Source organism: Homo sapiens, chromosome 20 (assembly GCF_000001405.40).
Source record: "Homo sapiens chromosome 20, GRCh38.p14 Primary Assembly".
Taxonomy (NCBI): domain Eukaryota; kingdom Metazoa; phylum Chordata; class Mammalia; order Primates; family Hominidae; genus Homo; species Homo sapiens.
In genome coordinates, this window is record NC_000020.11 from 43,558,673 (window position 1) to 43,585,649 (window position 26,977).

General features: G+C 49.4%; 1 protein-coding gene across 3 annotated transcripts; it reads left to right on the forward strand.

Moving 5' to 3' along the window:
- On the forward strand, window positions 355-26,955 carry SGK2 (serum/glucocorticoid regulated kinase 2). Of its 3 annotated transcripts, none has more exons than NM_170693.3 (13): window positions 355-487; window positions 7,801-7,859; window positions 8,396-8,445; window positions 8,993-9,050; window positions 9,244-9,327; window positions 10,713-10,844; window positions 11,945-12,057; window positions 12,352-12,388; window positions 13,379-13,465; window positions 16,237-16,332; window positions 17,552-17,707; window positions 21,300-21,389; window positions 26,180-26,955. In NM_170693.3, exons 2-13 carry the CDS (start codon window positions 7,824-7,826, stop codon window positions 26,342-26,344), a joined length of 1,104 nt encoding a protein of 367 aa, NP_733794.1. In that variant the 5' UTR covers window positions 355-487; window positions 7,801-7,823; the 3' UTR covers window positions 26,345-26,955. The 3 variants fall into 3 exon arrangements, with proteins under 3 accessions (NP_733794.1, NP_001186193.1, NP_057360.3); NM_001199264.2 differs by lacking the exon at window positions 355-487 and adding an exon at window positions 6,552-6,614; NM_016276.5 differs by lacking the exon at window positions 355-487 and having other exon boundaries at window positions 7,126-7,859.

Consider the following 26,977-nt stretch of genomic DNA (forward strand, 5'->3'; position numbering starts at 1 on the left):
GGCTGTGTAGGAGTCAGCACTTAAGCTGGACCTTGAGAGAGTGCGGCAGTTCCAGTGTTGAAAGGGACTTCAGAAACCGTCCCTCCAGCAGGACACACCATCCGTCACCAATTCACATGAGGCTCAGGGAGCTGAAGTCAGTTGCCCATGGTCACATAACAAGTTGTGCTTTAAAAAATTCAGAGAGTCCCCCAGGCAGGGCCCATCCAGGAGCCAGTGTGTGCAGCCAGCTTGGTAATTCAGGTCCAGTGGTTAATTAGTAACTGGAAGGCCCCGAAGCCAGCTTCCAGCAGGCAGGGCTGGGAGGTTGAACTTGAGCCGGTTTGGGAGCCAGGAGCGAGTGGGTGACAGGTCATTCCTGACTGGGAAGGTTGCTTGACAAGTCAGGATTGTGCCTCCAGTCAGAAGGACCATGAAGAGAGAGAAGAGGGCAGAGCCGTGCATGGGGCTGCTCCCCAGGACCTGAGCAGGAACCTGGAGTTTTCAGGTGAGAGGCTCACCTGTGAGCAGGATACCTGCCTGCTCGCCTATTGGTCTCCAGATTGACTAGTTACCTAGCTAACATCTTTCCTAGTACCTGTTTACTTTCTTTCCTTCCTTTCTTCCTTGGCGACTTCTTTCCCTTCTCCCTCCTTCCTTTCCTTCCTTCCCTCCCAACTATCTGCTTTCTCAGCTGCCTAATTTTCTTCCTCCTTAACTAACCAACTTACATCCTCACTTCCTTCCCACTGACTTCATTTTTTCCTTTTCTAGCTTTCTATTGTCTTCCTGAAATTCCAGGCCGTGGGCTTTGCAGTCAGATGGCCTGGGTTCAAATCCTGGTTATGTCATTTATTAACTGTCTTGATCATGTCACTTCCCTGTCCTTGCCTCAGTTTTCTCCTCCTTGAAACAGGGACGATGATAGTTCCTAACCCGTGGGGTTGTGGGAACAAAATAAGATCAAGTTGGCACTTGAACTGGGCAGGCGTGTAAATGAACAAGTTACAGTGAAGACAGGGACAGCAGCAGGAGAGGGTGCATGGGATCGGAGGGTCATCTGGCTTCCAGGAAAGGCAATGAGAACAGGTGAAAAGGTGAGCTGGAAAGACCAGGTTTGTTGGGGAATGTTCCAAGGAGAGAGAACTGTGTGACACTGTCCCACCCCCACACCCCATTTGGCAGGGCCAGGGAGCTGTAAGCAGGTCCATGTAACAGTGGGACAGAGGGAGGCAAGTCTGGGCTGTGGCAAGTTAGGAAAGGGACAGGCTTGAGGACTCATGGAGGGGCTTGAGTGGGAGTTTGCGGAGTCTGAAGAGTTAGGAGAATATATTGATGTCCAGCTTCTGGCCAGAAAATTAGAACACCGTGGTGCGAGAGAGAAGAAAGCCTTAGGAACTGAGGGCTGCTTAGGCATGGGGGTCACAGTCAAGGTGATGGGGGAGGGTGTGATGGGCCATGGGCATGCCAGGTTCCCACCAGGAACTCAGTACTTGAATATTAACTCAACAGCAATATCTTGAGAAGCTTTACACAATAGTACAAAGATAAAAGTTAAAATAACCGGCCGGGTACAGTGGCTCACACCCGTAATCCTAACACTTTGGGAGGCCGAGGCAGGCGGATCACCTGAGGTCAGGAGTTTGAGACCAGCCTAGCCAACATGGTGGAACCTCGTCTCGACTAAAAATACAAAAATTAGCCGAGCGTCGTGACACATGCCCGTAATCCCAGCTATTTGGGAGGCTGAGACAGGAGAATTGCTTGAACCCAGGAGGCGGAGGTTGCAGTGAGCAGAGATTGCGCCACTGCACTCCAGCCTGGGCGACAGAGCGAGACTCCATCTCAAAAAAAAAAAAAAAAAGTTAAAATAACCTAACCTAAGAACCCGCTGTGACCTTGGGTCATGACCCTGCAGTCTTTTTTTGGCAGCTGTGCTCACAAATGTGTACGTGCAGACATGTCTTTTGTTTTTCTTTTACAAAATTGGTACCCCTACAACACCTACTATTTTGAAACTTGGTTTTTTGCTTGATATTGTATCACATGTATGTTCCTGTTTTGGTTTATATAGGTTTTATATAGTTTTTGGTTGTGTAATTTTCCACTTTATATATGTACCAACATTTATCAATTCATTTATTGATTCATTAGTCAAATTGTACTGGGCATCTACTATATTCCAGGCCCTGTGCTCAGTGCTGAGGATTCAATAGTTGAACAGGAAGTATTTGCCCTCCTGGAGCTGATGTTCTAGTTGGAGATAGAAAATAAAAACTAATAAATACGTGATAAGGCATCAGTGCTACAAAGTAAAATATAAAGTAGACAAAATGTATAGGGAATGAGCAGGACTGGTATCAGAGTGACTAACCATCCTGGTTGGCCCAGGACTATAGCGGTTTTAGCACTGAAACCCATCAGTCCCAGACAAACCAAGATGACTTGTCACCCGTAATCAGTACAAGCCTCTCCAAGAGGTGACTTTAAGCAGAAGCCTCTATGACGTTAGTGGAAAACAGCCATGCAGGTGCCTGGGGGAAGAGTGTTGTAGGCAGAGGGAAAACTAAGTGCAAGGGGCTGGAGGCCAGAGAGCACTTAGTGTGTCTGAGGGACAGCAAGAGAAAGGAGAGAGGCTGAGGGCAGTCAGGAAGGAGGGGAGTGGAAGCCAAGGAGGAGATGGAGACAGCAAGCTAGGTCATATGGATCTCATAAACCATGGTAGAGGCTTTGGATTTTTTTTTTTTTTTTTTTTTTGAGACAGAGTCTTGCTCTGTCACCAGGCTGGAGTGCAGTGGCGTGATCTCAGCTCACTGCAACCTCTGCCTCCTGGGTTCAAGCTATTCTCCTGCCTCAGCCTCCTGAGTAGCTGGGACTACAGGCACATATCACCACGCCCAGCTAATTTTTGTATTTTTAGTAGAGACGGGGTTTCACCATGTTGGCCAGGATGGTTTCGATCTCTGACCTCATGATCCACCCGCCTCGGCCTCCCAAAGCACTGGGATTACAGGTGTGAGCCACCGCGCCCAGCTGAGGCTTTGGATTTTAATTCTAGGTGTGTTGAGAAACCACTGGAGTTTTTGAGCAACTAAGGCACATGATCTGATTTACATTTTAAGACTCACCGTGGCTTTTCATAGAGAAAGATTGTAGTGGGTAAATGGAGAAGCAGGGGTCAGTGGAGAAGCCATTGCAATAATCCATTCAAGTGACAATGGGGGCTCAGGCAGGGCGGTTGCAGCAATGATGGTGAGCAGCAATGGTTTCTGGATATATTTTGAATGGAATTTCATGATGGAGTGGAGGCGGAGTGAGGGTGCAAGCTTTCTAGAATGAACTCAAAGTTGCTGGCTTGAACTTTTGAGTAGGCGGTAGTGCCATTATTGAGGCTGAAGACTGAGGGAGGAGCAGACTGGGGCAGAGTGGAAGGAATATGAGTCAAGACCTTTGTTTTGGACATGTTAACTTCGAGATACCAGCCAGGCGCAGTGGGTCACGCCTGTAATCCCAGCAATTTGGGAGGCCGAGGCAGGAGGATTGCTTAAGCTCATGAGCTCAAGACCAGCCTGGGCAACATAGTGAAACCCTGTCTCTACAAAAAGTACAAAAAAAAATTAGCCAAGCCTGGTGGTGTGTGTCTATAGTCCCAGCTACTCAGGAGGCTGAGGTGGGAGAATAGCTTGAGCCAGGGAGGTAAAGATTGCAGAGAGCCTAGATCACTCCACTACACTCTAACCTGGGCTGCAGAGCTAAACCATGTCTCAAAAAAAAAAAAAAAAAAAAAAAAAAAGATTGAGATGCTTTGGCTGGGCACGGTGGCTCACACCTGTAATCCCAGCACTTTGGGAGGCAGGGGTGGGTGGATCACATGAGGTCAGGAGTTCGAGACCAGCCTGGCCAACATGGTGAAACCCAGTCTCTACTAAAAATACAAAAATTAGCCAGGCGCAGTGGCGGGTGCCTGTAATCCCAGCTACTCGGGAGGCTGAGGCAGGAGAATCGCTTGAACCAGAAAGCGGAGCTTGCAGTTAGCCAAGATTGTGCCATTGCACTCCAGCCTAGGCAACAGAGTGAGACTCTTTCTTAAAAAATAAATAAATAAATAAAGATTGAGATGCCTCTAGACATCTGACTAGTGAATTGTCAAGGAAGCAGTTAAATATTTAAATCCAGAGTTCAGGAGAGAATCAGAACTAGGCTGGGCGCAGTGGCTCACGCCTGTAATCCCAACACTTTGGGAGGCCGAGGCAGGCAGATCACTTGAGGTCAGGAGTTCGAGACCAGCCTGGCCAACATGGCGAAACCCCATCTCTACTTAAAAAAATACAAAAATTAGCCGGGTATGGTGGCGGGCACCTGTAGTCCCGGGTACTCAGGAGGCTGAGGTGGGAGTATCACTTGAACCTGGGAGGCAGAGGTTGCAATGAGTTGAGATAGCACCACTGCACTCCAGCCTGGGTGACAGAGCAAGACTCTGTCTCAAAAAAAAAAAAAAGAAAGAAAGAAAAAAAAAGATTTGGGAACTGACAAGTATAGTTGGTTAAACCACTAAAATGGTAGTGATCAACTAAAGAACAAGTACGTGTAGACAGAAGCCCAAAGACTAAGCCCTGGGATAGGCCTGTGTTTAAGGATAAAAAGAGGAGGAAAATCCAGCACAAGAGATGGAGGAAGAGCAGTCAGTGAGCTAGAAGGAAAACCAAGAGTTCCTAAAGCCAAATGGGGAACATGAGCACACCAAATTCTTCAGAGAAGTTGAATAAGATGAGGATGAGGAACTCATCACTGGCTTTGGCACATAGAGGTCACTGGTCCACGGTTTCATTGAAGTGTTGGGATGAGAGCCCATTTGGAACGGGCTCAAAAGAGAACAGGAAGAGGACTGGAGACAAGGAGTCCAGACAACTCTTTCAAAGAGTTTAGCTGAAAAGGGGTACAAAGAAATGGGACCATATCTGGACACGGTATATGGTCAAGAGAGGGAGCTCTTGCAGCTGGCAAGTGTTCTGAAGTGCTCTGTGGTGGGACACTTAGGTTACTATTAGCACAATTATTTTGCTGTTATAAATAGTGCTGCTGAATGAAGGCCACATCAGGATCTTGTTTTTGAAAATAAATGTCCTTGTTCTGGGTATGTGTTTTGTCAACATGACATCCTGCTGATCATGAATTGGTTCCACATTTCTATTTTGTTCAAGATGGAAGGCTTTGATACTGTGCACTCAGGTTTTCTCTGGTCAACACTTCCAGATCCTCCGCATTTCAGAACCCACAGAGAACCCCTGAGGCCCCTGGGCTCAGTTCCCTCCCTGACCAACTTTCTGGGCCCTAGCCCCATGTGTCCCTCCCCTGTAGTATACTGTAGCCACACAGAAAGTTTGAGAAGGGCAGGGGCTGTGGGCCCATCAACTCCTTTATTCTTGAGAACATCTGCCTACCCCTCGGGATCCTGGGGAGAGGAAGGGACCCTGTGAGAACCTAATGACCGCCCCAGGCAGCAAGGCCTTCATGAGCCAGGGTGCTCTCTGGGACCGTTTCTTACGCAGCAGGAGAGTCGTGGGCCAACCAGGCCTGCCCTGAGGACTGGGCCAGAGCCCTTGAGGGGCCCGCAGGGAAAGGCCAAAAGGACCAAGTGCTCATTAAAGACCAAGGCAGGCTGGACTGAGCTAGACACCCAGGCTCCAGGTTCCTTCCTCTGAAACATCTGCAGGTTTTTGGGAGGCGAAGGGCTCTCAGCTGCCATGGCTGATGTCTGGGGACTTTTTCTTCAGCTCCAGATGGTCTACACAGGGTTCGTATACACAGGCCCCCTAGCCGCACGCATGCGTGCATGCACGCGCGCACACACATACACACACACACCCCAGAGTAAATTCACTGATATACACCACTATGAACACACACAATGACTTACCTATACACACATATTAATAGACACCCATACTGCTCTTAACACACACCTTCAGACATCCACACAGACTCACACTCACCCACATACACACACACTGACACAGCATATTCACATACAAAGATACACACTGATATGTACCACACAGAGACACGCTGAAACACATCCATATGCACACCACACACACTGAGATACAGTGACACACACAGTCACAGATGCACAGACATATGCTGATGTAAATGTACAAATGTGGTCACACTGACACATACATGCAATCATCTACGCAGACTCATAGAAACCGACACAAATACCTGAAATACACAGCCACAGACAGACACACACGGAAGCACTCTATGCACAAAACACTCACACAGTACACACCATGCTGCACATACCCTGACCCAAACAGTCTAACAAGCCCTGAGGGTCTCCAGGGCTGCCCTGGGGCTATTGCCCACCCCTCCCACCGTCCCCGCTAGGGTGAGATGGTGTTCCCCAGGGAACAGAAGTCTCCAGTCCCATCTTAAGCTCTGCCGGATCCCGCGTGACATCAGCTAGCCCCCTCGCGGCTGCCGGGAGCTGTGAGCTCTGTGCTGGGGCCAGGCCGGCACCAGGCACAGACACTTAGGCCCTTGTTGGGAGAACAGAGAGAGGCTCTCTTGTCCACTGCCTGTCTTCGGTTCCAACTGCTGGTTCTCCTAGAGGCCTCTCCTCAGACTCGCAGGTATGTGGGACCAGGGAGGCCGGGTCCTGGCCAAAGGGCCACTGGGGTCAGCCCAGGAGAGGGTGTGGCAGTGTTGTGGGCCGTTTGCAGGAGCACACACGTCTGGCATTGGCTAGGGGCAGGCTGCGCTTCCTTAGCAGTTCTGCAGCTTGCTCTTAAGGCTTGGCAGGGCTGGGCCTCTCAGGGAAGCCTGGGCTGGGGGATCCTCTCAGTTCCCCTTCACTTTCTCTGTTCCCAAGAAGGCCATGAGGTTGGTGCCTCCAGGACCCCCCCTTGTAAAGATAGGAAATCTCTACTCAGAGAGGCTGGGCTGCAGCCCAGGCCCCACAGTGGGCCAAGACTAAGGTCTTGAGATGCGCGGCAACTGGGCTTTCAGGTGAGATCTCTGCTCTCAGCCTTTGCCAAGCAAGGATGAGACTGTGGGGCCCCAAGCAATCTGTGGCAGGGCCTGGGCACCCTGGCCCCGTCTCCCCTGCAGGGTGGAAGCAAGGAAGACACTATTCCTGGCCACATAGATCAGCTGGTCACACCTTCTGTTGTTTGGCCCCGAATAGATATTGGCCAGTCTTGGGTCTCTCTGTGGCCCCAGCCCAAGGCTTCCAGGGCAGCTGCCTTTCCTGAGGCATTGGGCAGAATTCCTTGTGGCAAGGAGATCGTAGCACAGAGCCCAGCTGGGACTGCGCACAGTAATTCAGGGTTGCCATTGTTCCTCTATGGGAGTCCGGAGAGCCCAGCCTGTGCTTCACAAGGCTATGTGGCCCTAGGAAGGTCCTTTTTTAGGCCACAGGCCTTCCATCTGTGAAATGGGGGATGGGTTCAGACTTTATGCCCTGAAAAGATCCTTCCAGCCCTGGCCATCTTGGACTTCTGGAGCTACCCTGGCTCACAGGGGTCTTGTTGCCCTGGGTGTCCCCAGTTCTTGAAAAGAATCAGCCTGGGAGGGGCCACACCCTGACCATCCCCCTTTATCCCTTCTGAGATGTTTGTTAGGAAGTCTGGGTCCAGGGGATATCATTTCTTGTTCCATCCATGCAGGGGTTGCTTACCTCGGGTAGGAAACCCTCAGGCGGTGGCAGGTGCACAGGTAGGGGAGGATGGAGAGGGCAGTGGTGCCTGAAGCCCTGGATGGGCGGAGCTGACCCCCCAACACCAACTCTCTCATGCCTGCTCCTCCCTGTCCCCCCAGAGCTGCCTGATCATTGCTACAGAATGAACTCTAGCCCAGCTGGGACCCCAAGTCCACAGGTGAGTGGTTCTTGGTCCCCCACCCATCATCGGGGGCTCACTTCTTCCCGAGGCTAAGGAAATCTGTGGGTCCCAGACAATGTCAGGGGCTGAGAGGGTTACTGCGAGCACATAGAAATGAGCCACTTGCAGGGTGAATAGAGTAGAGATTTGAAATAGGGCTTCAAGATGAACTGGAAAAATCATGAGATTTGTCATGGAGACACCTGGGTCGTATCCCAACCTGGTTGCCTGTGAGACCCTGGGCAACTCCTCTCTGGGCCTCAGTTTCCTCGCCTATTCAATTAGCACAACAGCCAGCTGCCTCCCAAGGCTGTTTTGAGAAGTGGGTAAGATGGTGGATAAGTGGATTTGTGGGTGGGTAGAAGGAGGGAGGGAGGGAGGGAGGCGGGCAGGCGGGCAGGTGAAAAAAAAAGAAAAGAAAAAGGCAGGCAGGCCTAGTAGAGTTGTTGGAGAAGGGATCAGGGCCTGGGCCAGGAGAAAGGGAGGTAGCCAAGGAGTAGGGATCTGCTGATCATAATCACTTCTTTCTTTAGCCCTCCAGGGCCAATGGGAACATCAACCTGGGGCCTTCAGCCAACCCAAAGTGAGTTCTGGTCCCTCAAGCACCTTTCCTACTTGACTCCCCTCATACCTGGCTCCCCTTGCCTTGGGAATAAAATCCAGATTCTCTGGTCTAGCATTCAAGACTGTCTGCCATCTGGGCCCAGGACCTTTCCCCAGCTCTATCTCCCACAAATTCCCCAGCCTCTGCCCATGCTGAACCCTCTTCCTGCAATGCCACCTAAATGTCTGCATTGTTAGCAACTCCCCACACTTCAGGCCCTTCTGAGGGGCTTTGGGTACCAGAACCCTGCCTTCTATGCAGGCCTTCTGTGCAGTATGTCTGGTTTTATCTCTACCCTCTGCCTGTTGTTTAACTTGAATTTGAGTTCCCCTGGGGCCAGGGTGAATCTTACAAGCCCTCTTTCGGCTGGGAGAACATGGGGTTCTTCGGGGGTGAGGAGGCATGGCTCCTGGAAGGCTCTCTGTATTTCCCCATTCTAAAGTTAAAAAGAAGCCCAGGTTTGTTCTCAGGCACCAGGTTTCCAGACATTGCAAATGCTGATCCGTGTTTTTCCCTCTTCCCCCAGTGCCCAGCCCACGGACTTCGACTTCCTCAAAGTCATCGGCAAAGGGAACTACGGGAAGGTGAGTGACTTGGTGAGGGTGGGAAGCCTGGGTCTTCCCTTCTGCAGCCTCTTCCAGCCCCTGCTGCCACTTGTATGTATGAAGAGAGAGCACTCGCACCTGCAGACAAAAGCAGGGGCAGGCGGGAGGCCTTGTACTGCTGTTGGGAAGTCCAAAGTCACCTACAGGGCCTCAAATTCATGTTTCTTCTCAGGTCCTACTGGCCAAGCGCAAGTCTGATGGGGCGTTCTATGCAGTGAAGGTACTACAGAAAAAGTCCATCTTAAAGAAGAAAGAGGTACCAGAGCTCGGGCACAGGCATTTCTTCTTCTGCTTCTCAAGCCGCAGCCTAGGGTGGCTTTCAAAGATGGGTCCCACCTCTGACAGGTCCATGGGCCTGGGTGCAGAAGTGGTCACAACAAAGGGTAGAGGGGAGGTGGTACGCAGGATGCTGGCCCTTCTCAAAGAAAGCAGGCCAAGCCATCTCACCACAGGGCTTTCAGGAAAACCAGCCTGGCTTTGCCTTCCCCTGGGAAACACAGGCTCCACGATGGACAAGTCTTCTGCCTGCTCCAAGTGCCAGGCTCCCCATCTGTATAATGTGGAGCCCCACTTTATTCTCTCTGAAGACCCTTCATGCCATCAGGCCATATGGCTGGAGTGCAGTAGTGCAATCACAGCTCACTGCAGCCTCAAACTCCTGGGCTTAAGCAATCCTCCCGCCTCAGCCTCCCAAAGTGCTGGGGTTAGAGGCATGAGCTACATGCACAGCACATCATGGACTTCTTTTTTTGTTGTTGAGACAGAGTCTTGCTCTGTCACCCAGGCTGGAGTGCAATGGCACCATCTCAGCTCACTGCAACCTCCGCCTCCTGAGTTCAAGTGATCTCATGCCTCAGCCTCCCCAGTAGCTGAGACTAAAGGCACCCGCCACCACTCCTGGCTAATTTTTGTATTTTTAGTAGAGATGGGGTTTTGCCATGTTGGTCAGGCTCCTGGCCTCAAGAGATCCGCTGGCCTCAGCCTCCCAAAGTGCTGGGATTACAGGCATGAGCTACCACACTCAGCCCCATCATGGATTTCTTGATGCCTCAGCTGACCTGAGTTCCTTTAACACCTGACTCCATTAGTAGGCCAGAGCAGGCCCAGAGAGAGGATTGCATAGGAGGTTGGGGGACTCAGAGAAAAGAGAGATTAATGTTAACAAGGTCTCCGTGGGGGGTGGAATGGGAGGTCTTCCTGAGGGAGGCAGCGGTGCAGCTGGCCTTGATGGTGGGATTCTGATGGTCTGAAAAGAGGGTGCGACATCCAGGAAGAGGAAATAGCATGAGCAAATACATGAATATGGATAGTGTGTGGCTTCTTTCCCTTAGGAACTCAGTTATGTAGGCATCACACATGCTTTGCTTTTCACTCCAAGGGCAAGAAGCTCTGATACAGGGGCTAGAGCTGTGCCCACATGAACTAGCTTAGGATGAGGCTGACCACCCTGAGCCCTGAATACTAAGGAAGGAACTTGGGCCTGGCTCTAAGGGCAATAGGGAGCCATTGTGGGTGTTTGAGCAGGGGCATGAGAAAGTCCTGGGTAGGATGACCCCCACCCACAAGCTTATATGGGCTGAGCCGGGATAAAAGAGGCTGTTGTGGGCTGTGACATGGACCCCTCTCTTTGTGACTCCACAGCAGAGCCACATCATGGCAGAGCGCAGTGTGCTTCTGAAGAACGTGCGGCACCCCTTCCTCGTGGGCCTGCGCTACTCCTTCCAGACACCTGAGAAGCTCTACTTCGTGCTCGACTATGTCAACGGGGGAGAGGTGGGTGGGCCCACAGGGAGGCTTCCCTGGGCTGGCTCTCGGCTGGGAGCTGTCCATCCCACATGCCCACTGCATGCCAAGTTCTGGAATGATCTCACTTCATCTTACAATAGACCCATTTTGTAGCTAAAGAAACTGAGGTTCAGGGAGGTAATCATTTGCTCAAGGCCACCCAGCGCATACCTGGTAGAGTCAGGACTTGAATTCAGGTCTGTTAGACTCCCCACCATAATGCTTTCTTGCCTTCCTCATTCAGAGTTGCCCATAGACGCACTTTGATAGGCCCGGGAAAGGTCAATGCTAAGAGGAGCTCGTGGTCAAGGTTTCTAGTGCTCCCATAGGCCACAGGGTGGGATTGACTGGTCACTGTGGTAAACAGAGACCTCAAGGCCACCTGGTGACCCAGAAGCACAGCTGGGACAAGCAGAGCTCCCTCCTGGGCTTCACTCTGTCTCTCTGGTCAAGATGCAAAATGTAGTGGAGCTCCAGTCAGTGACCCCAGATTTAACCTGCGTGATCTCTTGCCTTTCAGAATGATGCTAAGAGGGGGGTTTTTGTCCTGCATCCCTAAGTGAAGGGCTTTCCATGCCAGCAAAATAGTCCAAAAACATTGGCCCATGGGTGGATCTAACCTGAGCTCAGTCTGACAGCCGTATCATCATATCGCCTGGATTGATGGAAAAGCATAATCTTTGAACCACGCAGGTTCAAATGCCAGCTCTGCCAATTATAAGCTACATGACCTTGGGCAAGTCGCCTAACCATTCTGACCCCTCCTAGCTTCCTCTTACATGAAACTAGCATGACACTTGTACCTTGAAGGTTGTCATGAGGATTAAATAAGAGATGTGGAAGGGCCTGACTTGGAACCTGGAACACAGGAGGTGCTTAAGCAATGCTAACTCATCTCTTCTTCTGCTGACTCTTTGGACACCCGGGACTGCTGTGTGGGGCAGGGGCCAGCATGCACTCTTTTGGTAGGAAGAATGCTGCAGGTCAGAGAGGGAGTGAGCTCGCAGCCGCACAGGGCGGGGAGCAGGTGCACCCTAGCCCTACAGCAGCCACCCAATAACTCCTGTCACACTCCTCCTCCCCTCCAGCTCTTCTTCCACCTGCAGCGGGAGCGCCGGTTCCTGGAGCCCCGGGCCAGGTTCTACGCTGCTGAGGTGGCCAGCGCCATTGGCTACCTGCACTCCCTCAACATCATTTACAGGTGAGGCCTGCCTGTGGCTCAGAGCCAGGACCAAGCCCTTCTTGCTCCAACAGCTAGGGGTTGTGTGGACACTAAATCCTGATGAAATCCTGGTGGACTTGGTCCTTTGTTTTGGGTGGGGTTGGAGTCTCCTCCTCCGAGGTCCAAGTGCCCAGCCTTTCTGGGCTCTCCTTCTGCATCTCTGGCAACCTCCATGAATAGTTCTCCTGCCAGGACCACCCCCCGCCCAGGTCTCCAACTCTCCTCACTAAATGGCTGAGACACCTCAAGGCTGTTTTCTCTTATTTTCTGCAGGGATCTGAAACCAGAGAACATTCTCTTGGACTGCCAGGTTGGTGTGTGTGTGTGTGTGTGTGTGTGTGTGTGTGTGTGTATGTGGTTGCACAGGTACACTATCTGACCATGAGTCTGTGTACATGGGTGTGCATGCATTGTACATGTATGCATATAGGTAGAGGAGGCATTTGAGCATATGTGTGTGTGCCCATGCACATGTACACACATACATATGTGCACATGAGACTGTACATGTATATGTGTGCATGCATGTACATAGGGGGCAGGGGTGGAGCCAGGTGGAGGCTGGTGGAGTTTGTCTTAGACTGGGCTCCATGGAAACAGACTCTGAGATGGAGAGGAGGCAGAAGCTTTATTGGGGAACATTCTCAAGAGATAACACTTTTAAAGGGGTAAAAAAACAGGATTGGGCAAAGGAAGAAGCTCACCTGCATTGTAGTTACCAGTGGGGCCTCAGCTGATCTTGCCGGCAGGGGGAGGGCCTGAGCTGGGGTGGGTCTCTAGGATTGTCCCAAAATGAGACAAAGAGGATGGGCCTTTGTGCCCCTGGACATGGATTGCTCCTAGGGACGGGGCATAACTTTGGGTGCGGGCAATGTTCTAGCAGCAGGGGGATGGGGATAGGCATGGTTCTTCTGTAGCCTGGTTTCAGAAGAGGGATCCAGGCAGAACCCCACAGTATCTACTCATTCTACCTTCCTGCCCAGCTGCCACAAGGTGTGATTGCTTTCTGAGTCCCCAGCCTCTGTCTAGGGGTTTTCTGTCCACAAGCTGCCACTGTCGTAGGGGTGGGTCTGAGTTTGTGATGAGCTGTGGGCAAACAGTGGAATGCCCACCCGGCCCCCTGTGCTGCTCCTGACATCCAGTCCAGGAGCCCTGTGTTGGAGTGGAGCCTCCAGCCTGTGCCTGGGCATCAGATCCCACAGCTGCTGCCCTGGGGTGTGGCATCTGGGCTTTGGGGGTTAGGCCTGGCCATACCCTTGGCTCATACCACCCTCCAGCCCATGCCCTCCGTCATTCTCAGGGACACGTGGTGCTGACGGATTTTGGCCTCTGCAAGGAAGGTGTAGAGCCTGAAGACACCACATCCACATTCTGTGGTACCCCTGAGGTAAGCGTAAACATCCCAGGAGAGGGGAGGTCATGAGTGGGTGAGGCCACAGCTCCTGATTAGAGCCAACAGGTTACAGTGAAGGGGACTCACTCCTTTGACCCAAACACTTCTCCTGAGTGGGCTATACACTGAACTGTGGTTTCCTCATCTATGTAATGGGGGTACCAGCTCTAGGACTGCTGAGACCCAGCCAGCTAGCTGCTGGTGAAGCTCTACTGCAGTGCTATCCAGTAGAAATAGAAATAGAAACGCAGGCTGGGCACAGTGGCTCACGCCTGTAATCCCAGCACTTTGGGAGGCTGAGGTGGGCAGATCACCTGAGGTCAGGAGTTTGAGACCAGCCTGGGTAACATGGTGAAACCCCATCTCTACTAAAAATACAAAAAATTAGCTGGGCACGGTGACGGGCACCTATAGTCCCAGCTACTCGGGAGGCTGAGGCAGGAGAATCGCTTGAATACAGGAGGCAGAGGTTGCAGTGAGCCAAGACTGTGCCACTGCACTCCAGCCTGGGCAACAAGAGTGAAACTCCATCTCAAAAAAAAAGAAAAAAGAAAGAAATTCAAACCACATAAACACTTTAAAAACTTCCAGCAGCCACATTTAAAAAGTAAGAAAGTAACAGGTGAAATTAATTTTAATGATGTATTTTATTTAACCCAATATATCCAATATTCTCATTTCAACATACCATCAATATAAAACTGGTTGAAATATTTTATTCCTTTTTTTTTTCTAACTAAGTCTTGAAAATCTGGCATGAATTTTAACACTTACAGCCCATCTCAATTTGGAGCAGCCACATTTGAAGTGTTCGATAGCCACGTGCAGCCAGTGGCTGCTATATTGTACACTACTGATCTGCAGGGTGAAGGCCACGTGCAACAAGAGGGCCTGGCCTGAGTGTTAAGACCTGGGCTGGCAAGTGTAAACCACAGGTCCGTGTCCATCTTCCAGCTGCCAAGAGCCTGGAGGGTTACAATTTGCAGATCTCAGCAGTCATTCAGACATGTCTATATGTCCTGCCAAGGTCTCTCTGCAGCCCTGAAGTTAAAACCTTTCTTTGGGCCAGGCGTGGTGGCTCACGCCTGTAATCTCAACACTTTGGTAGGCCGAGGCAGGCAGATCACCTGAGGTCAGGAGTTCGACACCAGCCTGGCCAACATGGCGAAACCCCGTCTCTACTAAAAATACAAAAATTAGCCAGGTGTGCTGGCAGGCACCTGTAATCCCAGCTACTCAGGAGGCTGAGGCAGGAGAATCGCTTGAACCTGGGAGGCAGAGGTTGCAGTGAGCCGAGATCGGGTCATTGCACTCCAGCCTGGTGGACAAGAGCGAGACTCTGTCTCAAAAAAAAAAAAAAAAAAAACTTTATTTGAACTCCCACCAGTCTTGGACCTTGGACCTTGGACCTGAAGGGGTCCCCAGTGGCTAGACAGACGTCAGGGTGAGGGTTGGAGGGCTGAGGCTACAGACTGGGAGACTCCTCCCCACCTGGCATGAGACAGGACCTCAGCTGCTCTCTTTTTCTCCATATGCTTGAAAAGCTGGGTCTTAGATCTAATGGCCTCCTCACTTTAGTTCTAGGGTAGCTGATGGTCGGATGAACTCTCTGAGCAGGAGCCATGGTCTGTGTTTGGGTATGGTGGGTGGTGTTTGCTGGATAAAGCCAGCGCCCCAAAGCCTGACAGTCCAGCCATCCCTTCCTTGGACGTTGCTAGGGACGGGAACAAAGGATATGGAACCCCAGCTCATGTAGGAGACATGTGGCCCCAACACATCACCTTTACCACGACTCAGCCACTGCCATGGTGTTGGGGGGCACAGGCAAGAGTAGCCATGGTTGCTCCCATTGTTTGAGGGCCAGCACATATGTTAGCATCTTAGAACAGCTTCTAGCAGGGATTTGGTATCTTCACATTTTTAGGATGAAAAAACCAGGGTCTGAGAGGTTAAATGCCCTGCCTGAGACCACGTACCAACCACGGCTCAGGTCTGTGTGACTCTGCCCTTCCCTAGACCCCACACAGTCTCTCAGAGCAGCTTTTCCTGTTGCTGAGACCTTGCCCCCGACTCGGTGGCAGAGACACCAGGCTAAGAAGTCAGTAAGCCTCTTTTTTTTGTTCCCAGGTTCTCTTCCTCATGCAAGGCATAGAGACATGGTGTACATTTATTTATCAATAGCTCAGGGGTCACCCCCTCCTTCCTGACCCTCTCGTCTGACCCTAGGGTTTCCAGCACAAGGATATGCCACATGTACTTTTACTTACACTCACATTAGTCTCCACACTGCCCTGTGAGAGTACTCCCGGGGCCTTCCGTTCCCAGGACACGGATAGCCAGTTGAATGCCTTTGCAAAAATAGAAAAAGGCATCCCCTCCGGGCAGACTAATTAGAAAAAGCACCCCTTGAAACAAAAATAAAGTTGCCGGATAATACCTTTGAACTAGTGTTGCGGCTTGGTGAGTGGATTACAGCCATGAGTGCAGCCCCCTTTACCCTTTTGGCTGGTGCTTTTGTGTGGTACACACCATGTAAATTGCACAAAGCAGTCCTGGCTGACCTCTTCTACATCCCCAACCCATGGCAAAGGGCCCTGCAGAAAGCAGGCCTTTGCTGAATGACTGATGCATGAACACACACACAGCCACAGAGCACACGTACAGCAGGGTCAGCTCTTGGTCATCTTCCTCCAAGTGCCTTATTTACAGCTGGGGCAACTGAGGCTTAACGACTTATTTCAAATAAGTGTGTTTCCTTCTAACAGTACTTGGCACCTGAAGTGCTTCGGAAAGAGCCTTATGATCGAGCAGTGGACTGGTGGTGCTTGGGGGCAGTCCTCTACGAGATGCTCCATGGCCTGGTGAGTCAGGGGTAGCCATCTACAAGGGCCATCTGGCTAGGGATGGGTCTGTCTCTCATGTGGTCTACACAAGCTCTGTCCAGGAAAATGAGCAAGCCATCTCTTCATTCCAGACTAAAAAAGATAACGCCAAGGTGAATATGCAAATTATTATTTTTTTCAATAATGTTAGTTTAGGCCAGGGGCGGTGGCTCACACCCATAATCCCAGAACTTTGGGAGGCTAAGGCAGGTGGATCACCTGAGGTCAGGAGTTCAAGACCAGCCTGGCTAACATGATGAAACACCATCTCTACTAAAAATACAAAAATTAGCTGGGCGTGGTGGCGGGCACCTGTAATCCCAGTTATTCGGCAGGCTAAGGCAAGGAGAATCACTTGAACTTGGGAGGCAGGGGCTGCAGTGAACCGCGGTCGCACCACCGCATATCCAGTCTGGGTGACGGAGGGAGACTCTGTCTCAAAAAAAAAAAAAAAAAAAGTTAGTTTACAACACACTGTCTCACCTTGGGTGCCTCAAAATAGCCTTTGGAGGCTGACACAGCAGGAAATGGAGTTATTCATATTTTGCTGATAGGGAAATTGAGACCAAGAGAGATCACAGTCCTGATAGGTTGTGGAGCCAACCCCTGACCCCAGTCCTAGGCTGCCTGCTTAGGTAGAGGCATGTGTAGATTTGCCCTAGGCCATGCTTTGCTTTGAAGTGGTTTCACCAGCATAGCTTGGTCCCTAGGAAGGAACAGGCTCTGTGGATTAAGGGGAAGGAACAGCTGGAAGAGGTGTGGGAGGAAGAATAGTAAGAAAGAGAAGGGGACCCTGGATATGGTTTGGGGCCTGGCTGTCTTCCTAACTGTGCCACATAATTGCTCTGAGCCTTGTTTTCTTACCTGAAAAATTACAACTCTCTTGGAGGATGGTTATGAGGCTGGGGTGAAATGATTAAGGTGAAAGTGCAAATGTTGCCAAATGCAAAGTTGGTGCATAAGCTAGATGAAAAGAGATGGGCCTCACGCTGGTGGGAAGAGACTTCTGACCTTCCTAGCAACTCTCTCCATGTGCCGGAAGCCTGGAGTCCTGTCTCTTTCCAGTCTGCCATGCGAGCCATTGCACAAGACAGGGGTCATACTGAATCCTCCCAGCCGCCCACCTTGCTCCAAGTCTCCCCGAGCCTGTGTTCACTTTGCATGGGTGATCCTCCAGCTGTTCTCCCTCTCTCCCCAGCCGCCCTTCTACAGCCAAGATGTATCCCAGATGTATGAGAACATTCTGCACCAGCCGCTACAGATCCCCGGAGGCCGGACAGTGGCCGCCTGTGACCTCCTGCAAAGCCTTCTCCACAAGGACCAGAGGCAGCGGCTGGGCTCCAAAGCAGACTTTGTAGGTGACCTACCAGTGGAGCACTGGCCCCCATGGGGCTCGCAGCTTCCTGCAGAGGCAGCTCAGAAGCACATTAACACGCATCCTGCTGCCTTCTAAAACCAGGCACTGCTCACTTGTTCATTTGGAAATTCACTACTGCTACTAGCTGACTACTTTCTCCAGTCTAGTTCTCTTAGTCAATCAATATTTACTAAGCACCAACTATGTGCCAGGTATTGAGCTAGGTGTTAGGGATTCAATAGGCTGGGTCTCTGCCCTTATTAAGTTTGGGGTGGGGGCCGGGTGCGGCATACACGCCTGTAATCCCAGCACTTTGGGAGGCCAGAACGGGTGGATCACCTGAAGTCAGAAGTTCGAGACCAGCCTGGCCAACATGGTGTAAACCCTGTCTCTACTAAAAATACCAAAAATTAGCTGGGCATGGTGTTGGGCACCTGTAATCCTGGCTACTTAGTAGGCTGAGGCAGGAGAACCACTTGAACCTGGGAGGCGGAGGTTGCAGTGATCTGAGATCGTGCCATTGCACTCCAGGCAGGGCAACAAGAGCAAAACTCCACCTCAAAAACAAAAACAAAAAAAGTTTGGGATTGGGGGCAGGCAAAAAACCCAAACATTATATACAATTATCACAAGGTATGACAAGTGTCAGGAAGAAAATGAATAATGAGCTGAGATAGACAATAATGGGAGGGGGGGCAAATTAATAGCGGCATGATCAGGGAGTTCTCTCTGAGGAGGTGACAATTAAGCTGAGGCTTGACGGATGAGAAAGAGGCAGCCATGAAGACAGCTGGGCAAAGGCTCCCCAGACACAAGGCACAGCATGTGCAGAAGTCCTGCTATGGGAACAAGGAGGAGAGTGGCCAGTTTTAGGGTGTTTTGAGCAGAGGTCTGGCATGACCTGATTTAAGTTTTTAGAAGATTCCTCGGGCTTCTTTGCGGAGAGTGGACTGCACTGCATCTGCTTTTTTTTTTTTTTTTTTTTTCCGAGACAGAGTCTTGCTCTGTTGCCAGGCTGGAGTGCAGTGGTGCAATCTCATCTCACTGCAACCTCCTCCTCCCGAGTTCAAGCGATTCTCCTGCCTCAGCCTCCCAAGTAGCTGGGACTACAGGCACCCGCCACCACGCCCAGCTAATTTTTGTATTTTTAGTAGAGACGGGGTTTCACCAAGTTGGCCAGATGGTCTCGATCTTTTGACCTTGTGATCCGCCCACCTTGGCCTCCCAAAGTGCTGGGATTACAGGAGTGAGCTACCATGCTTGGCCTTTTTTTTTTTTTGAGACTGAGTCTCGCTCTGTCACCCAGGCTGGAGTGCAGTGGCACGATCTCAACTCACTGCAACCTCCATCTCCCAGGTTCAAGCAATTCTAATGCCTCAGCCTACTGAGTAGCTGGGACTACAGGCACCCGCCACCATGCCTGGCTAATTTTGTATTTTTTTAGTAGAGACGGGGTTTCACTATGTTGGACAGGCTGGTCTCGAACGCCTGACCTCAAGTGATCTGCCCGCCTCAGCCTCCCAAAGTGCTAGGATTACAGGCATGAGCCACTGCGCCCAGCCAGCACTTGCTTTTTACAAATATCTGAGTACTTCTTCCTTGCCAGACCCCAGGCTGGGCAAATGGGATATAGGGATAAATGATTCATAGTCCATTCTTAGCAAATTCATTATATTCATTCATTAAAGTGGCACTTTAAAAATAATCCTACTTTTTTTATTCAACACAAGGTAATTTGGATTTACAAAAAGAAGGCCGCAATATTTTCTCACCAGGAGTTTGCTTTCTTTTCTAACATAGTGGTTAAGATGAATGGACTAGGCCAGGTGCAGTGGCTCACATCTGTAATCCCACCACTTTGGGAGGCCAAGGCGGGCGGATCACCTGAGGTCAGGAGTTTGAGATCAACCTGGCCAACATGGCGAAACCCGGTCTCTACTAAAAGTACAAAAATTATCCAGGTGTGGTGGTGGGTGCCTGTAATCCCAGCTACTCAGGAGGCTGAGACACAAGAATTGCTTGAACCTGGGGGTGGGTGGAGGTTGCAGTGAGCTGAGATGGGCACCACTGTACTCCAGCCTCGGCAACAGAGTGAGACTCTATCTCCAAAAAAAAAAGATGAATGGACTATGAGGCAAACTACCTGGGTTCAGCAGATCCCTCCTTCACTGCTTACTAGTTACAGGACCTTGGACATGTTGCTTAATTTCTGTGAGCCGCAGTTTCCCCATTGTAATAACAGCACCTAACACAGCTGTTTTGAAGATCAAATGGATTAGTATTAATGTATGCAAAGTACTCTCAGCAGTGTCTGGCACACAATAAGTGCTTTTTAAGTGTACCAAAAGCTTTACATTCCAGTTACTGTAAATCGTAACAACAGTTAGGGCATCTGCTGCCTATTCCTGGCCAGCTTAAAGAATAGGGGCTTCCGTGAAGATGTCTCCTGTTCCAAGCAAAAATTTGTATCTTAAAAAAATATGTATGACTCTTAAAATAAGTTATACATTCACATAGATCAAAATTCAAAGGGTACAAAAGAGTATCTAGAAAAAGTCCTTCCAGCCACCCAGTTCCTCAATTCAGAGGCAACCAATGTTACCAATTTCTTGGGCATTCTTTCGGAGGCTTTTTTTTTTTTTTTTTTTTTTTTGAGACAGAGTCTTGCTCTGTTGCCCAGGCTGGAGTGCAGTGGCATGATCTCGGCTCACTGCAACCTCTGCCTCCCGGGTTCAAGTGATTCTCCTGCCTCAGCCTCCCAAGTAGCTAGGATTACAGGCACACACCACCACGCCTGGCTAATTTTTCTATTTTTGTAGAGACGAGGTCAACCATGTTGACCAGGTTGGTCATGAACTCCTGACCTCAGGTGATTCACCTGCCTTGACCTCCCAAAGTGCTGGCACTACCAGCGTGAGCCACTGCACCCAGCCTCTTACGGAGATATTTTGGATCTGGGTTGTTAACCAGCCCACTGGGGTTCCTGATATAGGGAGGTGGAGAATAATTATTTGAGAAACACAGATAGAGGATGTGATGGAAAGAAGTTGGTGCCAATGTTGATTTTGATTAGGAAAGGTGGTGAATCATGACCAGGGCTGAGTCCTAAAATCTGGGTGTCTGGGAATCTGAAGGTCTTCTTGGGGGCTTTATTTTTCAAACCTTCCCTAGTGAATTGATTTAGTCTACTTCTCTGGTTTGCATACTGGAAAACTCAAGATGTACTGAAGCAGAGTGAGGGGAGGGGTCTCCAAGCTCCCACTGGTACTCCCCCACCCCCAGAGCAGATTCTGATGTATTATTCACTGACACCCCCAAAGCCTAGCAAAGGGTCGGTGCCCAGAGAAGATGCTCAGTAAATAGTTTTGGAATAAACAGATGCTGTAGTGGGGAGAAGGGTTTGGATTCTGGATGATGGGAGAGGCTTGGCTGCAAAACTCTCTTGTCCCAGGAAACTAGCCAGAACTGCAAGTTAATTTCCAGTTGACAGCCAGTTGCTTGTGGAGCTCTGGAGGATGTGGGGGTGAGGTGAGAGCACCCATGGGGAGGGCTACTTCTAACCAGAACCTTTTTTCTGCACTTCCTGCAGCTTGAGATTAAGAACCATGTATTCTTCAGCCCCATAAACTGGGATGACCTGTACCACAAGAGGCTAACTCCACCCTTCAACCCAAATGTGGTAAGAGGTCACAGCATTCTAGACTCTGGATTTCCGGGGCTGGGGGAGCTTGCTATGCTTGCCAACTCTCCTTATCTAGATGGAAAACTTGGGGGTCCAAGAAGCTCAGTCATTTGTCCTAGGCTACACAGTCAGTTAGAGACAGAACTGGGCCTGACTACAGGTGCAGCTCTTGGATAAACAGCCATGTTGCTGCTCCTTTGTCTTGAGCACCAATAAATAACTCTGGCTGCAGAGACTTTTACAGTTTGTGAAGTGCTCTGTTTCGCACAGCACACCCACATAGGGCCAAGCCCTTTAGAGATATTTTATCCTTTTCTATTTATAGACTTTTTCCTGATAATAAAAATGACATATATCCTTATAAAAAGTATGTAAAACACTGGCCAGGCACAGTGGCTCACGACTGTAGTATCAGCACTTTGGGAGGCTGAGGCGGGTAGATCACTTGAGGTCAGGAGTTTAAGACCAGTGTAGCCAACATAGTGAAACCCCATCTTTACTAAAAATACAAAAATTAGCCAGACATGGTGGTGCACACCTGTAATCCCTGCTACTCGGGAGGCTGAGGTGGGAGAATAGCTTGAACCTGGGAGGCAAGGGTCACAGTGAGCCAAGATCATGCCATTGCACTCCAGCGTAGGCAACAGAGGGAGACTTCATCTCAAAAAAAAAAAAAAAAAAAAAGGGAATGTATGTAAAACAGAAAAGTTTAAAGTAGCAGTGGCGAAATGCTTATTATCTCACTACTTAAGGGAAACCACTGGCATATTTCCTTCCAGTCACTTTTCTATGTGTTTTTTTTTGTTTGTTTTGTTTTGTTTTTTTTCTTGAGATGGAGTCTCACTCTGTTGCCCAGGCTGGAGTGCAGTGGCACAATCTCGGCTCACTGTAAGCTCTGCCTCCTGGGTTCATGCCATTCTTCTGCCTCAGCCTCCTGAGTAGCTGGGACTACAGGCGCCCACCACCATGCCCGGCTAATTTTTTGTATTTTTAGCAGAGATGGGGTTTCACCATGTTAGCCAGGATGGTCTCGATCTCCTGACCTCGTGATCCGCCCGCCTCGGCCTCCCAAAGTGCTGGGATTACAGGCGTGAGCCACCGTGCCTGGCCTGTTTTGTTTTGTTTTTAACCTAATTAGGTCCTACTTTATAGTATCTATATGTGTGTGTGTGTTTATTCATCTATATTATCTTCCTCCTTTTTTGGCTAAAAACTATGTTATAATTTCCTCATGTCATAAAAAATTTTATAAATACAATTTTTAGTGGCTGCATAATATTTCCATCTTATGTTGGTAACATAATTTACTTACCCATGTTCCTAATGGCAATCTTATGGTTGTTACTATGTTTTTTCTTTATCATGATGTGCTGATGAACAGCTTTAAGTATATGTCTTTGCCCAGAATTCTGGTCATTTCTTTAAGATGGATTCCATATGGGGAATTCCCAATGCTAATGTTTTTTAGATTCTTTTTTTATTTTTATTTTATTTATTTATTTTTTTGAGACAGAGTCTCGTTCGATCGCCCATGTTGGAGTGCAGTGGCACGATCTCAGGTTCAAGCAATTCTCATGTCTCAGCCTCCCGAGTAGCTGTGATTATAGGCATGCGCCACCACGCCTGGCTAATTTTTGCATTTTCAGTAGAAACGGGGTTTCACCATATTGGCCAGGCTGGTCTCGAACTCCTGGCCCCGAGTGATCCACTCGCCTTGGCCTCCCAAAGTGCTGGGATTACAGGCGTGAGCCACCGCACCTGGCCATTTTTAGGTTGTTGATTCACACCACCTTTTCACTGTGTGGAAGGGAGAACCATCTACTTCCTACCAGCGGCACTTGCTGGAGAGTTCTCATCTTGCTTGCACTCTGAAGCATGTGTGGTTATTGTTTTTTACTTTGCAAATTTGGTAAGTAAAAAACAGCATCTCTTAATTGTTTTAATTTATATTTCTTTGTCTTATAGTAAAGATGGTTAGTTTTTTAAATTTATTTATTTTTTGAGACAGGGTCTCACTCTATCACCCAGGCTGATGTGCAGTGGCATGATCTCTGCCTATTGCAACCTCCACCTCCTGGGGTCAAGCCATCCTCCTACCTCAGCCTCCTGAGTACCTCAGCCTCCTGAGTAGTTGGGAGGTGGGTGCCACCACACCTAGCTAATTTGTATTTTTTGTACAGATGATGTTTTTCTATGTAGCCCAGGCTGATCTTGAACTCCTGGGCTCAAGTGATCCACCCCCTCAGCTTCCCAAAGTGCTGGGATAACAGGTGTGAGCCACCACACCTGGCCAGTTTTTATTTTCATTTTTATTTTTATTTTTATTTTATTTTATTTTATTGAGGTGGAGTCTCACTTTGTTGCCCAGGCTGGAGTGCAGTGGCACGATCTCAGCTCATGGCAACCTCTGTCTTCTTGGTTCAAGCAATTCTCCTGCCTCAGCCTCCCGAGTGGCTGGGACTACAGGCATATGCCACCACACCTGGCTAATTTTTGTATTTTTAGTAGAGATGGGGTTTTACTATGTTGGCCAGGCTGGTCTTGAACTCCTGACCTCAAGTGATCTACCCACCACAGCCTCCCAAAGTGCTGGGATTACAGGCATGAGCCATCGCGCCTGGCTTTTATTTTTATATTTTTGAGATAGAGTCTTGCTCTGTTGCCCAGGCTGGAGTGCAGTGGCACGATCTCAGCTCACTGCAACCTCTGCCTCTCCAGGTTCAAGCAATTCTCATGCCCCAGCCTCCCGAGTAGCTGGGACTACAGGCGCTCAGCACCATGCTTGGCTAATTTTTTTGTTGTTGTATTTTTAGTAGAGACGGAATTTCACCATGTTGGCCAGGCTGGTCTTGAACTCCTGACCTCAAGTGATCTGCCTGCCTTGGCCTCCCAAAGTGCTAGTTTTGCAATGTTAATTGGTAGTGGCAGTGTGAATGAAAGGAGTCCTATTGGAGGTGGGCGTGTGAAGCTGTGTGGTCTACCTGTAAAGCATGGTGCCAAGCCCCTTCCATCGAAACAGCCTGCATATCAAACACTGCCAATGTTAATTCACCATTTACATTTCTCATTTGTTTAATTACCTATTCATGAACTTGTCTTTGGGCACTGGATCAGATAGGATACACTCGGGCCAGGCACCAGAAAAGCTTCTTTTCGTTGGGATTTTAAAAAGACAGTGAAGATAATGTCGAACTTATACCCTGGAGAGAGAACCATACATGGAATACTAGGCAGAGATGAATGGACTTTAGAATGAGACACTCCGGAGCTGGATTCCTGGTTTTGTCACCTACCATTTGTGAGGTCTTCAGTAAGTCTCTTTAGTATCATTTTCTTCTACAGTCACACAACTAATAAGGGCCAGGATGCACATTCTGATCTTGGAACTCTGAGTGCTGGGCTGGGACTACCTTGTCTTGTAGCCTTATTGAGAAGCTAGAAACTGTGATCTGTTTGGCTCCATAGCCCGACTTGCACACTAAAGCAGATTTGCAAGCCCTTCCCCTTCCTCACCTGCTTACTTCATAAAACCCAGGCCTCCTCCACAGAGAGACTGTATTGGTTAGCTCTTGGTGTATAACAAGCAACTCCAAAGCTAGGTGGCTTAAAACAACAATCTTTTGGCTGGGCATGGTAGTTCATATCTGTAACCCCAGCACTTTATGAGGCCGAGCTATTAGCATTGCTTGAGGCCAGGAGTTCAAGACCAGCCTGGTCAACATGGCGAGACCCCCATCTTTATAGAAAAATAGAAAATTAGCCAGGTGTGGTGCTGCATGCCCAGCTACTCAGGAGGCTGAGGTGGGAGGCTCGCTTGAGCCTGGGATGTCGAAGCTATAGTGAGCTGTGATCATGCCAGTGCACTCCAGCCTGGGTGATGGGCAAAAAAGACCTTGTCTCTTAAAAAAAATTATTTTGTTCGGATTCTATGTGTTTTTTTTTAAGTCTGAGTCAGGCCAGCTGGTCTCTGTGGAGCTCTCTCATATCTGTGGTCAGCTAGCGGGACAGTTGGCAGTTGTTGATCTAGAATTGCCTCACTCCCATGCCTGGGAGTTGGCAGGCAGCCAGGGCAACTGAGTTCTTCATGAGCCTCTCATGCTCCAGCAGGCTAGTCTGGGGCTGTTCACATGGTGGCATCAGGGTTAGAAGTACAGCAAGAGAGCAACTCCTGATGTGCAATTTTCAAGCCTCTGCTTGTGTCATATTTGGTAATGTCCCATTGGCCTAACCAAGTCATATGGCTAACTTACATTAAAGGAATGGAGAAATAGACTCCACCTCTAGATGGGAAATGGAGAATTTGTGAACATTTTTGTAATCTCCCTCACAGGTCTTCCTCCAAAATAGCTAAAGCAGCCCCAGTCAATCTCCACCATATCACCCTATTTTCTCTTCTTCATAGGACCTATCACCATCCTAAGTTACCTATTTGTACATATGCTTATTATCAATCCTCCTACCCCCCACACAATGTAAGCTCCATGAATGCAGGGGCTCACTTTATCTTGTTCTCCTGTGTTCCCAGCGCCACGAACAGTACCTGGTAGGCATTCAGTAAGTGTTATGTTGATTAACTGACTTGCCTGACGATTGGTGTGGAGGCAGAATACCAGGGGGTGAGAGGAATCAAATGATCAATGTAAATGCACAGGAAAGTGACAGTCAAGTATGGATGACTGTGAAGCATGGGGCACTCACAGAGGCCTGACATCCCTCTCTGAGGATCTGGGCTCCTTTGGCAGCTCTGACCCCGGTGTTTTCTTCTCATCATTGGCTTTTATTGACAGACAGGACCTGCTGACTTGAAGCATTTTGACCCAGAGTTCACCCAGGAAGCTGTGTCCAAGTCCATTGGCTGTACCCCTGACACTGTGGCCAGCAGCTCTGGGGCCTCAAGTGCATTCCTGGGATTTTCTTATGCGCCAGAGGATGATGACATCTTGGATTGCTAGAAGAGAAGGACCTGTGAAACTACTGAGGCCAGCTGGTATTAGTAAGGAATTACCTTCAGCTGCTAGGAAGAGCGACTCAAACTAACAATGGCTTCAACGAGAAGCAGGTTTATTTTTTCCAGCACATAAAAGAAAAATAATGTTTCGGAGTCCAGGACTGGCAGGACAGGTCATCAGATACTCAGAGGCTGTATCTCTGCCCTGCCAACCTTGACAAATGGCTTCCAATGTTAGGTTTGCTACAAGATGGTTACTGGAGCTCTAGCTGCCTATTTTGTGTTTAGGGAAGGGAAAATGGAGGAAAGGGGAGAAGAGCAAAGGGCGCTTTTAAAGAGCTTTCCCAAAAGCTCCACCCAATGACTTCTGCTTCCATCTCACTAACCACCCACCCCTACCTGGAATGGAGGCTGGGAGATGTGGCTTATTTGCTGGGTACGTGACTATCCCTAATAACAAAGGGGTTCTGACACTAAGACATTAGGGGAGAATGTTGGGTAGGCAGCCAGCACTCTTTTACCAGAGGGCCTCCTGGTGTTTGGATTTTGATCTCAATGTGTAAAATGACAGAGATGTAACAAGCTCATAGGGTATCAATATCTCTTATTGTTCTATGTTGATGATATTTGTCTTTGT